At 42.4% G+C, this 16,524-nt stretch overlaps 1 protein-coding gene across 28 annotated transcripts in view; it reads right to left on the bottom strand.

Moving 5' to 3' along the window:
* DOCK3 (dedicator of cytokinesis 3) overlaps window positions 1-16,524 on the bottom strand; it is a 709,272-nt gene that overhangs the window by 63,359 nt on the left and 629,389 nt on the right. For all 28 annotated transcript variants that reach the window (XM_005264914.4, NM_004947.5, XM_006713010.4 and 25 more), the window contains 5 exons: window positions 10,514-10,608; window positions 8,761-8,836; window positions 8,264-8,364; window positions 7,938-7,996; window positions 5,712-5,860 (listed from right to left, as the gene is read on the bottom strand). In XM_005264914.4, coding sequence (XP_005264971.1) covers window positions 5,712-5,860; window positions 7,938-7,996; window positions 8,264-8,364; window positions 8,761-8,836; window positions 10,514-10,608 — 480 coding nt within the window. The remainder of the gene's footprint in view (window positions 1-5,711; window positions 5,861-7,937; window positions 7,997-8,263; window positions 8,365-8,760; window positions 8,837-10,513; window positions 10,609-16,524) is intronic.

Raw genomic sequence — 16,524 nt, 5'->3', positions numbered from 1 at the left:
CTATAAGCCCCTGACTGGGGCTGCTGCCTTTTTTTCAGAGATGCCCTGCCCAGAGAGGAGGAATCTAGAGAGGCATTCTGGCCGCAGCAGCCTTGCTGAGCTGCGGTGGGCTCCACCCAGTTCAAACTTCCTGGTGGCTCTGTTTCCACTGTGAGGGTAAAACTGCCTACTCAAGCCTCAGCAATGGCAGAAGCCCCTCTCCCAACCAGGCTCGAGTGTCCCAGGTCGACCTCGGACTGCTGTGCTGGCAGTGAGAATTTCAAGCCAGTGGATCTTAGCTTGCTGGGCTCCGTGGGGGTGGGATGCACCAAGCCAGACCCCTTGGCTCCCTGGCTTTAGCCCCCTTTCCAGGGGAGTGAAGGGTTCTGTCTCACTGGCGTTCCAGGTGCCCTGGGGTATGAAAAAAAAAAACAAAAACAAAACTCCTGCAGCTAGCTTGGTGTCTGCCCAAACGGCCACCTAGTTTTGTGCTTGAAACCCAGGGCCCTGGTGGCATAGGCACTGGAGGGAATCTCCTGGTGTGTGGGTGGTGAAGACCATGGGGAAAGTGCAGTATCTGGGCCGGATTGCACAGTTCACAGTCCCTCATGGCTTCTCTTGGCTAGGGAAGGGAATTCCCCGACCCCTTGTGCTTCCCGGGAGAGGTGATGCCCCACCCTGCTTTGGCTCGCCCTCTGTGGGCTGCACCCACTGTTCAACCAGTCCCAATGAGATGAGCTGGGTACCTCAGCTGGAAATGCAGGAATCACCCGCCTTCTGTGTTGATCTTGGGAGCTACAGACCAGAGCTGTTCCTATTTGGCCATCTTGCCAGCCCTCTAACAATTTCATTTTCTAAGTTAAAAAAAGCCTATGTATTGAGAAGAAAAAAGACATAAACTGCCTCCTCTCCAAGTTCTTAACAATGGTAGGATTATGGGTTAAAATTTTTCATTATAGCTATTGCGTTTTTTTGTTGTTGTTGTTTGTTTTTTTTTGAGATGGAGTCTCGCTCTGTCGCCAGGGTGAAGTGCAGTGGTGCAATCTCAGCTCACTACAAACCCCACCTCCCAGGTTCAAGCGATTATCCTGCCTCAGCCTCTTGAGTAGCTAGGACTACAGGCACACACCACCACGCCCAGCTAATTTTTGTAGTTTTAGTAGAGACGGGGTTTCACCATGTTGGCCAGGATGGTCTGGATCTCTTGACCTTGTGATCCACCCGCCTCAGCCTCCCAAAGTGCTGGGATTACCGGTGTGAGCCACCACACCTGGCCCACTATTGCATTTTACATTTTTCTACAATAAATAAATATTGTTCTATAATTAGAAAAAGTATTTTTAGGCTGGTCAGTGTTAGTGATGGTGGAATGTAACCCAGCCCCATCTTCAGCTGACTCAGAGCCATTGCATAGCTCTGCAATGTCATCCACTTCTTGGTAACTGGGTTTTTTTTTTTTTTTTTATCAAGTGTTGTGCATTTTGCACATTTAGAAGGCACAAGTTGTAACAATACAGAAAAGTAACAGTTCCTTTTTTGTTTGAAGTTATTATTTCCCAAAGACCTGGAGGCATTAGAGCTACACACTCCCAAACTGTTTTATCTTAAATACTATTTACCCATGATAAAAAGAATCTATAAAAAACTTAGAGCTAGTATCATATTTATTTATTTGTTTAATAGGAGAAGCACATAAGGATAGTATCATATTCACTGGTAAAACACTGGTGAATACTTTCTCCTAAGAACAAAGCAAGTTTCTCATTGCTCTTATTTAACATCATCCTGGAGGTCCTGGCTGATGTGATACAGCAAGAAAAATAAGAGATATATAGAGTAGAAAGGAAGAAATAAAACTCTATTCTCAGATGACATGATTGTCTAAATAGAAAATCCCAAGGAATCTGCAAAAAAGCTTCCAGAACTAATAAGTAAATTTAGCAAGGGTACAGGATATAATGTTAATATATAAAAATCAGTTGAATTTCTATATCCTAGAAACAAAAATAAAATTTAAAAATTGCAATCATTTATATATTTATATAAACAAAGTGGAACATTTTAATTGAACTTTCTTAAAACCAATGGATCAAGTAGCAAAGCATTAGTTAGGCTACAGAAGTTCAAACAATATAATTAAGGAGCTTGAGCTACTAGATAAACGTAAGTTTTACTCCCTCACCCACAGAATACCCATTGTTTTCAAGTTCATGTAGAACAATTTTTTGAAATGCTGCATACTTGACAATAAAGGGAGTCTAAAATTTTTTCAAGGAATCAACATCATTCAGTTGCATGGAATTATTTAGAAGAGCACCAAAAAACAGGAAATACATATAAATCTAATAATATATGTGTAAGATCTGTATACAAAACACTGATGAAAGAAATAAAAGAACACCTAAATAAATGGAAAGATATACTGTTTTCATTGACTATTAAGACATAATTCTTCCCAATTTGATATATATATAATTTTTTTGAGACAGAGTCTTGCTCTGTTGCCCAGACTGGTGAGCAGTGGTGCGATCTCAGATCACTGCAATCTCCCTTTCCTGGGTTCAAGCAATTCTCCTGCCTCAGCCTCCTAAGTAGCTGGGATTACAGGCACCTGCCACCACGCCCGGTTAATTTTTATGTTTTTAGTAGAGATGGGGTTTCACTGTGTTGGCCAGGCTGCTCTCAAATTCCTGATCTCAAATGTTCCACCTGCCTTGGCCTCCCAAAGTGCTGGGATTACAGGCATAGCCACTGTGCCCGGCCCCCAATTTGATTTATAGAATCACTGCAATCCCAGTCAAAATCTCAGCAGGAATGTTATAGATATCGACATGCTGATTCTAAATTTATTTAAAAAAGGAAAAAGAATTAGATAGCTAACACAATACTGAAAAAAAAAGGACAAAACTGGAAGACAGACTCACACCATGTGGTTTTAAGACTAACTATAAAGCTACTATAATAAGATAGCGTGGTATTGATGAAAGAATAAACATACTGATCTACGGAAGGACTAGAGTCTAGAAAGAGATTCACACAAATATGGTCAATTGATTTTTTAAGTAGTTTTAAGTGACAATAATTATATCTATTTATAGAGTACAATATGATGTTTTGATATATGTATACATTGTGAAATGATTAAATCAAGCTAATTAACATATCTGTCACCTCACCTAATTTTTTTTTGCAATGAGAACATTTAAAGTCTACTCTTTTAGCAATTTTTAAATATACATTATTATTATTATTATTATTATTATTATTATTATTATTATTTTGTGATGGAGTCTCGCTCTGTTGCCTAGGCTGGAGTGCAGTGGTGCGATCTTGGCTCACTGCAACTTCCACCTCCCGGGTTCAAGTGATTCCCCTGCCTCAGCCTCCTGAGTATCTGGGACTACAGGCACGTGGCACCACGCCTGGCTAATTTTTGTACAATACATTATTATTAACTATAGTTACCACGTGGTGCAATAGCTCACTAAAGCTTACTCCTCCTAACTTTGAATACAAAGTTTCAAAGGTCTTTTTTCTTTTTCTTTTTTTTAAGCTTCTCCTTGTCCAAACCCATTTGTTTTTCTTTTTTTTTTTTGGCAATTGGTTTTTGACCAAGGCAGAAAGACAACTGAAGAAAGGATACTCTTTTCAACAAAAGATGCTGGAATAATTGGACATCTTGTTGCAAAATAAAAAAAAGAACCTGATCCATCCTTCATACCTTATACAGAAATCAACTCAAAATAGATCATAGATCTAAATTTAAAATGTAAAACTATAAAACTTCTAGAAGAAAAGACAGGAGAAAAATTTTTGTGGCCCTATGTTAAGAAAAAGTTCTTGGGGTATGACCCCAAAAGCATGATCTATAAAAGAAAAACATTGACAAACTGGACTTCATAAAAATTAAAAACTTTTGTTCTAAGAAAGATATTGTTTAGTAAATGAAAAGATAAGCTAAAGATTTGCAGAAAATATCTGTAAATCATATGCTCAACAAAGGACTTACATACAGAATATATAAAGAACCCTACAATTCAACAATAAGGAAAGCAGCAACTCAAATGAAAATGAACAAAAGCTTTGAACTCATTTTACCAAAGAAGCATAAAGATGGTATATAAGCATATGAAAAGATGCTCAACACCATTAGTCACTAGGGAAATAGAAATGAAAACCACAATGATATACAACTACACACCTATTAGAATGGCTAAAACAAACGAACAGATAATACTAAGTACTGGTTAGTATGCGGAGCAATCGATTATATACTGCTGCTGAGACTTCAAAATGGTATAGCTATTTTAGAAAAGAGTTTGAGAACCTCTTCGAAAGCTAATTACACACTTGTCACAAGGCCCAACAATCCTATTCCTAAGTATTCACTCAAGAAAAATGAAAGCTTATATGCATACAAAAACCTGTAAAGAAATGTTTTTAGTAGCTTTATTTATAATCCACAAAAGAGGAAATAACCCAAATGTCTTTCAAATGGTGAATGAATGAACTAAATACTACTCAGCATAGAAAAGCTACTGATACATGCAGTGACATGGATTAATTTCTCAAAGCATTATGCTAAGTGAAAGGGGCCAGTCTCAAAAGGCTGCACTTTGCTTGATTCCATTTATATGACAGTCTAGAAAAGGCACAACTATAGTGATGAAGAGCAGACCTATGGTTGCATTTGTTAAGAACAGGGGAAGGGTTTGACTACAAATAGACAGCAAGACTGAATTTTTAAGTATTCAAAAACTCTTGATTGTGGTAGTGGTTACACGACTATGCATTTGCCAAAACACATAGAACTGTAAATCAAGAAGAATACATTTTACTCTATGTAAATTTAAAAATAAATAAATATTTAAAAATTACTGTTTGCCTGGTCTACTTCTCACTGTTACAGTCACCTATTCTAAATAGACCACTGGTTCATCCCAGAATCACAGGCTCGGAAGGAGCTTAGTGGGGAACTGGTACAATTCCCAAGCCAATACAGAAAATTCCCCTAGAGGTTTCCTGGGAGCTTCTGCTTGAAGATCATCTGCCAAGAGAGAAAATCTCTATCTCCCAAAGCAGGCCTGCTTACAGTGGACAGTTTTTGCTGTTAGCAAGTTATTTATTTGATTAGCTAAAATTGGCTTCCTCATCATTAGCCCCTATTGGTCCTGGTACTATCCCCTGGAGCTACAGATATAAAGGCAGGGGCCATCTCCTACACTTAGTGGTGGCAAAAGAACTACACAGGAGGACAGCCTGAAGCCATTCAGTTGGAAGCCAAGGGGCCTGTATCTCCTGGACCAACCCCTCTGTGCAGTAGTCTATAAAATGCTGGGCTACCCTGAGCCATGAGAAGTCATCTGGTCTGGGCTGCAGCCCTAGAAATGCCTGGATTATACAGTGAAAATCCTCAGTAAAGGAATGACATCACACTCCCAGGGCCCTATCATGATTGAAACTGGGAGGCTACAGTCTCAATCATTCCTTGATCAGAAAGTTATAGTGATGTTCATTCTTTCCTGGCCTCATTATTTTCTGGCCTCTAACTTCATGGAGAAAATCCACAAATCAATTTTGGCCAGCAAGTAAGGGAAAACCCTTGAACAGGATTCAAATTAGCCAAACTACAGCCCATCCCCACTAGAATCATGGCTTGGTCATCTAGGCCACCTGCCTAAGCAGAAGGGATCCATTCCAGAGAATACCCCGAACACTGCCAGGTGTCTTACCTGTTTGAAGTTGCCATTTTTTCTCTGCTCCCAGTCCATCATGTCATGAAAGATGGGAATCATGATATTCCGTACTTCTGGCTGTGGGACCAGTGTCACACCCAGAAAAGGACCAATCATTCCCGGAATAAAGTGGATCTTATGTTCACCTGAAAAACAAAACCCAAATTAGTTTATGCCTGCTTTGCTCCTTCCATGGAAGATTCCCAAATGGGGCCACAACACATGCTACAATCCATACTGGAAGCTTCTGAGAGCAAAACAAGCTCTCCCCTATGGTTTTCTGAGGTACTCTCCCTCAACTTTTTAGAGTTTATGGATAAAGTTGGCCTAGCCCAGTGAAAGCAAATGCGCAACTGTCACAAAACTGCTTTTCCAAAGAATTTCCTGACAGTCCCACAAACTACCTGAAAATCTCTCTGAGATGAAGGAACAGAGTTTGCTACTCTAGACAGAATAGGTTTCTGAGTAACCTATGAGTGTCAGATGGTCTATTCACAGTGTTTATTTAACAAGAAAAACCCAATATTTCTGCTTAAATACAATGCACTCTCCTTGGAGTTTCTAGCTCTAGCCCAGAGACATTTAAGTGATGAGGATATCCAGTCCCTGGTCTAGCCACCAGACGTCTAATAAGTCCATGGATTTTTACACTGCCTATGTTCATGTATGCCAAAGAAGTCCTCCTCCTGAGCTAGCAGGAGTCTCCTGCACAGCCCTACCCTAAAAGGCTGGCTTAGAGATTCTCTCTTTACCCACCCTGAACTCCCTTTGTGTTCATATTGCATTTCTGATGGTGCCATTACACCTACTTGGCTCAGCTCAACCCTCAACTTCCTTAATGAAGCATTTCCATGGTAAGTGTGTGATGTGGGTTTCCCTCTCATTGGCGTGCCATCTAGGGTATGTTACCAGAAGCCAGAGACAGTCCTGTGGATGGTGGGATAGGATTTTTCTCTTCCTTGCAATGGTAAAACAGAGTGAACCATCTTTCAGAGCTCTGCTCTCAGTCCTTCAGAGACTATTGAGGAGATAAACTGTGGGTCTGTGCAATGAATGCTACGGCCAAGTAAAACCATTTCTTGGGGACCAGAGAATGTCATTTCCACCAAAAGAAATGAGGCAGAAAAGGCTTTATCAGGCAAATCTGGTATTAAAAAAAATTCTAAGAAGCAAATGTTTAGCCCTGAGGCTGGTTCAGCATATTCCAATTTTGGTACTTGGCACAGTAGCCAGTCTCTTGCATTCCTGGGAATTTCAGAGTCAACTTTGGGTTAAAATCCATTTCCAAACTGTGCTGGATACAGGGAACCAGAGTGTTGGAAAGTCTGATTGGGGAAATGCATCCCCACTCATGAATAGAAGGCCCTCTCGCCGGCAGAAATACTTCATATCCTACTTGCTGCCTCTAGGTTAGTGGTGGGGATGGTTAACAGAGGACTGGAGATTTTATGACCATCATTCCTACAGCTTCAGAACCATGAGCTCAGCTGAAAGCAGACTTCACTTGAAATAATAATAGTTCTCCAGCATCTTGACAGGCCACTCAGAACTCTACAATATCACAGGATGGCCCACTCAGTCACCAGGGCAACCCAGAAATTCTACCAAAAACACTGATCTGACAAATTTAGATTCAAAGCAGTGGCTATTTTCAAAGCATTCAAAGCAGAAGCTGTGCAAAGAAGGGAAGCCAAAACTGATCTCACCCAGAGGTTGCAGTTCTCTTCTTATATGTTACTCCATGCAACTGGTGTCAAGTATCTGATCTGGATGCATGAATACCAGAGATCCAATAAATGTTTCAATCTTTATTAAAATTAATAGCCACCTTTGCTCATGTACTGGGTATCTCAGATCTAAGCTTTTGAGCCTGCAACATCCAGACTGGGAAGTGAAGAGCATGGAGGATCTTATAGGAATGGGTTCTCAAATTGGAAAAAACTACTACAGCCCTCCTTTTCTTTTTTTTCTTTTGACTTTAGTTCCTAAAAAAAGGGATTTGGCATATGTATTACTGAGGTCTTATTTCTCAGACAAACTCTCCTTGCCAAGGGCTTTATGCACATGTGCTACACCATCCATCTGAGGTGTTATGTGAAAGATATGTAAGGATCTCTTGGGCCTGAATTAACATTCATAAAGCCTGGGAGATGTTATTAGTCTTGCTACTTTCTATTTGGCTATGCAATATATAGAAGGGAAGAATAGGGAGAAAAAACCTACCCAAATTCTGCCACATGCTGAACAGTTCATAGGCCATCATTACACGCATGTCCCCATACCTAAGAATAGTAACACAGGAGCCAACCGTTAGTGGGAGAAGGTTCAGGAGGATAGGGCTGCAAACCCATGAGGCCAGGACTTCAGCACTGTTTGTTTCTAATGCTTCCCAATGCGCTAAGCCTTTGGGCTCTCGACTGAACTCCCACACTTGGGCCCCTGGGAAACCACCCAGCTGAGAACCTTGTGGACCTCTGAAAGAACTCTCAACGAAACATAGCCCTATTTGGCCAAGTGGTAAGGAGATGAATATAAGACGTTTATCTTACTTATCTAGAATCTTCTTCCTTTTGGCTGAGGTGATAATTTCTAGCTGAAGGCTTGGCTGATTTATGAATAGAACTGCCAGGCTAAAGTAAGAATTCCACACCTAGACAGACAGAGAAAGAGAAAATGTGACAGTCTAAGAACTTAATCTTGTAGGGAGCGTTACTAAATACATGCATGTAGCATAGAACCCATTTTACAATCTTAAGATCCTCATTTTTTTTCCCTTTTAAATATCTTTGCAAACAAGAATTTTTCTTTTTTTCCCCCTTAACTCCTTCTGAAGCCAATTGTGTTGATTCTGGACTAGAAAGCATACTCATGGAGTTTGGCTACCAACACTTCCAACAGGGGTATCCCAGGTCATATTCTAATCATCATCAGGCTTGGAAGCTGTTTGATACTATGAATCTATTAATAAAGCAAAAAACAAGTGAGCTTGGTTTTGGCTTTCTAAGGTTATTGCAATAATAGTGATGGATATTTCAGGAGTGCCTACCTTAAAGTCAAAGTCAGTCTCTGTGAAATTCTTGTGCAGTGCAGAGGACAGGTACTGGACAGTAGTGACTATAATACTGCAGTAAGGAAACAAGGCATTGGCAGAATTAAAAGACTAACAATGGCATCTGATGGCTTGGTATCAGCTGTCTATAGCCTGTGTGCAAACTTCTTGAGTACAATTTGTTCCCATGTAAGATGTGACTATAAAGGAAAGAGAAAATGGTACAAACTCTATAGAAAAAATCTCTACAGAAAACCAGTCTTGGAGAAATGCCCCACAGTTGGCAGGACAGCACAGGACATCAGTGGGTTCTAGACCTAGTTCTGTCATTACCTGGCCTTCATACTTCTCTCTGGGTCTCATTTTCCCTGCCTATAAAAGGTGGTAGGAGATCGATGGTTCTTTAAGGTTTCTCCCAGTTCAGAGTAGTTCTAGTATTTTGGGGATCTCTGGGTAATCAAGAGATATTATGATCACTTTGTAGGATTTAGAACATAATTTTATTATTATACTGGATAACAGGGGTTTATATAGTTAATAAATCTTTGCTTTTGTCATATACTATTATTTTCATCTATGTGTCATTTGAATTCAGCTCTTTTGGTCTAGCTTGAGTAATCACTCTCAATCTCAGCCTGGGCACATAGAAGGGACAATGGGAGGCTGTCCTGCTGGAACAAGAGAGTGAAGTGGAGAGGAAGTCTAGTGGGACAGTACGTTTCATTACATAGGGCCTTGGCTACCTGGCAAAGAGACTTACATCTAACAGTGGCCACCTCTGCTTAGATGCAGAAGAACATGACAAAAACAGTGCATTAGAAAGACTAGTCCACCACTAGAGGGGGTGAAAAATTTAAAGGGTCAAAGCTTTGAAAGAAAAAGCTGCTCTTGCAGGACAAGCTGGGGAGCCTGAAGTGCTCTGAATGGAGCTAAGAGATAGAAACAAGAAAGATTCAAATGGAAAAGTCACTATTTGAGGAAGTATCTGTGCAACTTTGTTTACAATCATCCTTCTATTCTTTATAAAACATTTGTATTTTGGAAAAAGTTACAGTGCTTATAAAAGGTGTAAAGTGGAAAGACCATGCTAGTATCTTGCTAATATATCTAACAGACACTTTCACTGTATTTTATATGTCAATATAAAAGGCAGATCAGTGGGAGGAGGCAATGGGCTAGAGTGTGGAGGCCAAGTAGCCTTCTGCTGAATAGAGAGAGACCAGATGAGCCAGCCCCTTACCACATGCATCATTTGTCTGGTTTGCCAGGAGGAAGCACAAGCTAGAAATATAAATGAGGCAGTCAGGTTAGGATTATCTTTAGAGTAAATTCTATGTCAGTAATCAGAAGTGGTCAGAGCCTTGCAGCCAGGTCTCAGGTGGATAACTGGCACTGTCTATGGGAGGCAAGCACTGCCTGGTAGACAACACAATTCAAACTGAGAAGAAGGCTTGGGATAATGCCCAAACCTATAGGGCAGCAGAGGCCAGTGGGCCACTGAGCAGGCCTTCCTCAAGGAAGAACCCTTCTCTGGATATTATATTTCACATCCTGAAAATTTTCTTCTCTATCCTTACTGTGCCATCATCTACTAAGCACAAAAATGTTTTTCTCATTTGCCCTCTCCTCTCTGTTCCCATGGCCCTGGCCTTTATTTGTCTTGCTCATGTGCTCCCTCTCTGAAATACACATACTCTTCTTAGTCTGAGAACAGCTCAGTGATGCTGATACAGAGCCCTTCCATACTTACTTGCTTGTGAGCAGTCTCATTACCATCCAGTCCCGAGGGAAGACACTCATCTTCATCAGGTTCCGGAACACGCAAAAAATCTTCAGCAGAAATTCCTGACAGCAGAGGAAAGCTGATGTGAGACACCACCACCACAATATGCATCTCCTCAATAGGCCACTCCTGGCCGCCACTAGATCATGACAATGGGTGGGACCAGTGAGTTAGATCTGGTTCTCTCTGTGAGTTGTTTCTCTCTTAGAGGGCTACATGAGAGTGAGTTCTGGGTACTCTCACAGGCCAGATGGAAGCAGACCCAAACTGGGCAGAACAGAGGTAGCTCTATACCCACAGTGCCCAAAGCAGCTCTATACCCACTTTATACCCACAAAGCCCAAAGCATGGGACAGACTAAGGTCTAGCCAAACTGGTGTCCGACTGAGTCCATGGGCTTCATTTTCTGGGGCATGGCCCCTGAGCGTTTGATTGTAAGAACATGCTTTTTTGGATATTAAGAACACGATGATGGGAGAGGTACTTTAGGAATGGCAGAGTAAAGACCTCTGAAAATCTGCTTGTCCATGAAAGCAATGGGGTGGCTAATACTGGTTAACCAAAGGCTTGTGACAATCCAAGAAATGTTTACTCAAGAAAAATGGATGAGTCCCATGTACGCTCTGTAAGAAACAAAGAGCTCTCGCTCTCGCTCTCGCTCTCGCTCTCGCTCTCCCTCTCCCTCTCCCTCTCCCCACGGTCTCCCTCTCCCTCTCTTTCCATGGTCTCCCTCTGATGCCGAGCCGAAGCTGGACTGTACTGCTGCCATCTCGGCTCACTGCAACCTCCCTGCCTGATTCTCCTGCCTCAGCCTGCCGAGTGCCTGCGATTGCAGGCGCGCGCCGCCACGCCTGACTGGTTTTCGTATTTTTTTGGTGGAGACGGGGTTTCGCTGGGTTGGCCGGGCTGGTCTCCAGCTCCTAACCGCAAGTGATCCGCCAGCCTCGGCCTCCTGAGGTGCCGGGATTGCAGACGGAGTCTCGTTCACTCAGTGCTCAATGGTGCCCAGGCTGGAGTGCAGTGGCGTGATCTCGGCTTGCTACAACCTCTACCTCCCAGCTGCCTGCCTTGGCCTCCCAAAGTGCCGAGATTGCAGCCTCTGCCCGGCCGCCACCCCGTCTGGGAAGTGAGGAGCGTCTCTGCCTGGCTGCCCATTGTCTGGGATGTGAGGAGCCCCTCTGCCTGGCTGCGCAGTCTGGAAAGTGAGGAGCGTCTCTGCCCGCCCGCCATCCCATCTAGGAAGTGAGAAGCGTCTCTGCCCGGCCACCCATCGTCTGAGATGTGGGGAGCGCCTCTGCCCCGCCGCCCCGTCTGGGATGTGAGGAGCACCTCTGCCCGGCCGCGACCCCGTCTGGGAGGTGAGGAGCGTCTCTGCCCGGCCGCCCCGTCTGAGAAGTGAGGAGACCCTCCGCCCGGCAGCCGCCCCGTCTGAGAAGTGAGGAGCCCCTCCGCCCGGCAGCCGCCCCGTCTGAGAAGTGAGGAGCCCCTCCGCCCGGCAGCTGCCCCTACTGGGAAGTGAGGAGCCCCTCTGCCCGGCCACCACCCCGTCTGGGAGGTGTACCCAACAGCTCATTGAGAACGGGCCATGATGACAATGGCGGTTTTGTGGAATAGAAAAGGGGGAAAGGTGGGGAAAAGATTGAGAAATGGGATGGTTGCTGTGTCTGTGTAGAAAGAAGTAGACGTGGGAGACTTTTCATTTTGTTCTGTACTAAGAAAAATTCTTCTGCCTTGGGATCCTGTTGATCTATGACCTTACCCCCAACCCTGTGCTCTCTGAAACATGTGCTGTGTCCACTCAGGGTTAAATGGATTAAGGGCGGTGCAAGATGTGCTTTGTTAAACAGATGCTTGAAGGCAGCATGCTCGTTAAGAGTCATCACCACTCCCTAATCTCAAGTACTCAGGGACACAAACACTGCGGAAGGCCGCAGGGTCCTCTGCCTAGGAAAACCAGAGACCTTTGTTCACTTGTTTATCTGCTGACCTTCCCTCCACTATTGTCCTATGACCCTGCCAAATCCCCCTCTGCGAGAAACACCCAAGAATGATCAATAAAAAAAAAAAAAAAGAAAAATGGATGAATAATAACAATGAGTTTTGTTGCATTTTTAACTTGCACTATTCCCTTCCCCTCCCACCTCCACAGTAGCCTTAAAAACAAGCTGCTGTAGAATCATGAAAGTCATGAAAACCAGAGCCTAGCAGCCATTAGAAGGGACAGAATGGTTTTGGAACTCCTACAAAAAGTCCTGACCCCCCAGAATTGTTATTATTTGACCTGCTTGGCAGCTTCCTGGAAAAACTCCATTCATAGGGCTTGTCTTAATTTAACCTGACTCAGAGCTCACTCAGTGAGGAAAACTCTATACCCAAGGCATTTGTTGGAGAGAAAAAAAAAACAAAAAAAAAAACCCATATAATTTAACATCCCAGCTGCATGAAGCAGCCATGTCATTTCGGGCAAACCAGAGAATGGCTAAAAAAAAAAAATTATAAGGAAAATCTGAGGAATGAAATATCCATAGGGGGCCTTGAAAAGCTCTGACATATTCCTGGGAATCTAGAAGGCCACACATGAGTGCAGGGCTGTGCACATTCCTAGGGAAGGCCTGAGAAGGCCTAATCTCTCACCTGTGCTGACCTTGAGGCTCTGGGCAAGCAGGAAGTGAAGGCTATGGCTGAACTGAAAAGTGCTGGAGCAATGACAGTGAGCCCCAACACATACACATAAAAAAAACACTTTACAAAATGCGGAGAGTTATTGATTTAAGGCATTTAAGAAAATATCTGTTCAGTTATTAGCTGATCATTAACTAACTGCATGGAGACTTTAGTGACTGCATATAGTTAAAAAATACAGATATTAAAGAATGGGTCCAGGCATGGTGGCTCACATCTGTAATCCTAGTGCTTTGGGAGGCTGAGGCAACAGGATCACTTGAGGCCAGGAGTTTGGAACCAGCTTGGGAAACATAGCAAGATCCCCATCTTTACAAAAAATTAAAAAATTAGCTGCATGTGGTGGTGCATGCCTGTAATCCAAGCTACTCAGCAGGTTGAAGTGGGAGGATTTCTTGAGTCCAGGCAAGGTTGTAGTGAGCTCTGATCACATCACTGTACTACAGCCTGAGCAATACAGCAAGACCCTGTCTAAAAAAACCCCAAAAAGCAATGAGTCCAATAATGTCACTAAAAAAAGAAACAAGCATCATCAACAACATAAAGCAATAAAAAGCAACAATAACAAGCCCTGGGGATGTGGGGAAGGGATCTGATTTCCAGAGTTGCCAAATTAATTAAAATGTCCAGTTTTCAACAAAATATTATAAGATATAAAAAAATAGGAAAGTATGGCCCATACACGGGCAAAAAGAAGTAAATAAAAACTTTTCCTGAGGTAGCTCAAACATTGGACTTGCTTGGAAAATACTTTAAACAAAGAAATGAAGGAAATCACACTTAAAGAATTAAAGGAAAGTGTAAGAACAATGACTCACCAAATAGAGGATGCCAACAAAAAGGGTAGAAATTACTTAAAGTACACCGAATATAAATTCTAGGATTGAAGAATACAATAACTGAAATGAAAAATTCACTAAAGGGGCTCAGCAGCAGATCTGAGCTAGCAGAAGAATCAGCAAATTTGAAGCCAAGTTAACTGAGATTATCTCAAGTAGGAAAAACAAAAAGAAAAAAGAATGAAGACAAATGAACAGAGCCTCAGATACCTGTGGGGCATCATTAAGGGTATAAACACACACACAGTGGTAGTGCCAGAAGGAAAAGAGAAAGAGAAATGGGAAGAAATAATGGGCAAAAACTTTCCAAAATTGATGAAAAAATCTTTACACAGCCAAGAAGCTCAACAAACTCTACAGGGGATAAAATCAAAGAGATTCGCATAGAGCCACATTAGAATCAAAAGTGTCAAAAGCCAAAAATAAAGAGAATCTTGAAAGCAACAAGAGAAAAACAACAAACAACCCTCAATAATATGAAAAGGTGACATCATCAGATATAGTGGAGGCCAGAAGGCAGACAGCAGAAATATTCAAAGTCTGAAATGAAAGACCATCAACAAAGAATCCTACAGCCAGCAAAACTACCATTCAAAACTAAAGAAACTGCAAAGCACAGTGGCTCATGTCTGTAATCCTAGCACTTTGAGAGGCTGAGATGGGAGGATTGCTTGAGCCCAGGAACTTGATACTAGCCTGAGCAACATAGCGAGACCCCATCTCTACAACAATAAATTTAAAAAAAAAAAGAAAAAAAAAAAGAAAAACTAGCTGGTGTGGTGGTGTGCACATGTAGTCCCAATGACTTGGGAGGCTGAGGTGGGAGAATCGCTTGAGCCTGGGAAGACTGTGGTGGCAGTGAGCTATGATTGTGCCACAGCACCCCAGCCTGTGTGACGGGGCAAGACCCTGTCTCAAAAAAAAAAAAAAAAAAAAAAGAAGAAGAAATCAAGACATTCTCAGATAAAAACAGAGAGAATTTTCTATTTGTAGACCTGCCCTATAATAAAAACACACACACACACACACACACACACGCGCACACACACACACACAGACACACACACACTGAGGGAATTAAAATGGCATACTAAATACATTTAACACAAAAGAAGGCAGTAATGGAGGAACAAAGGAACAAAGTTGGCATAAGACCTATATAAAGCACATAGCAAAATGGCAGGTGTAAAACCTACCAATTACCTTTATTGGCAGTTACAGTAAACATAAATGAATTAAACACTCCAACTAAAAGACGGAGTTGGGAAAAATTAATTTAAAAATATGATCCAACTATATCTACAAGGTACACACTTTAGATTCAAATGTACAAATACATTGAAAGTAAAAGAATGGAAAAATATATACCATGAAAATAGTACCCAAACGAGAACTGGTATGGCTATATTAACATCAGACAATATAGACATTAAGACAAAAATTTTTGTTAGAGACAAAGAAGGATATTTTTATAATGATAAAGGGGTCAGTTATGTCTGGAAGTCGTAATTATAAACATATATGCAACCTAAAAGCACAGCCTCAAAATATATAATGCAAAAACTGACAGAATGGAAAGTAATAGTAGACAATTCAATAATAGTTGAAGACTTTGATATACCACTAACAGTCAGAACAACTAGACAGAAGATCAGCAAAGAAATAAAAAACTTGAGCAATATTATAAACTATCTAGCTCTAACACACGTCTATAGAACACTCCATCTAACAACAAAATACACACGTTTTCCTCAAATGCACATAGAAGGAAAAATATGTGCATTCCCTTCTCTAGGACAGATCATATGTTAGGCCATAAGAAAGTCCCAATAAATTTAAAAGAAGTAAAATCAGAGGGGTGAGGATGGCCAGCTAGAAACAGCTGCAGTTGGAGGGTCCCACAGAGAAGAACCAAAACGGTGAGTGAACCCTGCAGTGGCAACCAAGGTATCTAGGTTCTCTCACTGGGACTGACTAGGTGGTTGGCATGACCCACGGAAAGTGAGGAAAAGCAGGGTGGTGCGATGGCTCACCTGGGAGCCACATGGGGTAAGGGGGCCCCCCACCACCAGCCAAGGGAGGCAGTGAGGGATCGTGCTACCCAGACTGGGAAACCATGCTTTTTCCACAGATCTGTGCAACCCATAGATCAGGAGATCCTACTTGTGGGCCTACGCCACCAGGACCTTGGATCCCAAGCACACAGCTGTGCAGATTCTCAGCGGCCACTCAGCTGGAGGCTAAGACAACTGAGTTCCCCCCAAGTGAGGGTTGGCAGCCATCACTGCAGCTGCCTGCTGTCTATGACAACTGAGCAGGGGAGGAGGGGGAGGGGAGGTCATCATCCTGAGCGGGAGGGGAGGTCATCATCACTATAGCTGCCTGCTGCCTAAGACTAATGAGCTTCCCAGGAGAGGGGCAGCAGGCATCACTATGGCTGCCTGCTGCCTAAGATGA

This window comes from Homo sapiens, chromosome 3 (assembly GCF_000001405.40).
Source record: "Homo sapiens chromosome 3, GRCh38.p14 Primary Assembly".
Classification (NCBI taxonomy): Eukaryota; Metazoa; Chordata; class Mammalia; order Primates; family Hominidae; genus Homo; species Homo sapiens.
Note: the sequence above shows the minus strand (reverse complement) of the source record. Positions and strands in the feature narration are given on the sequence as shown.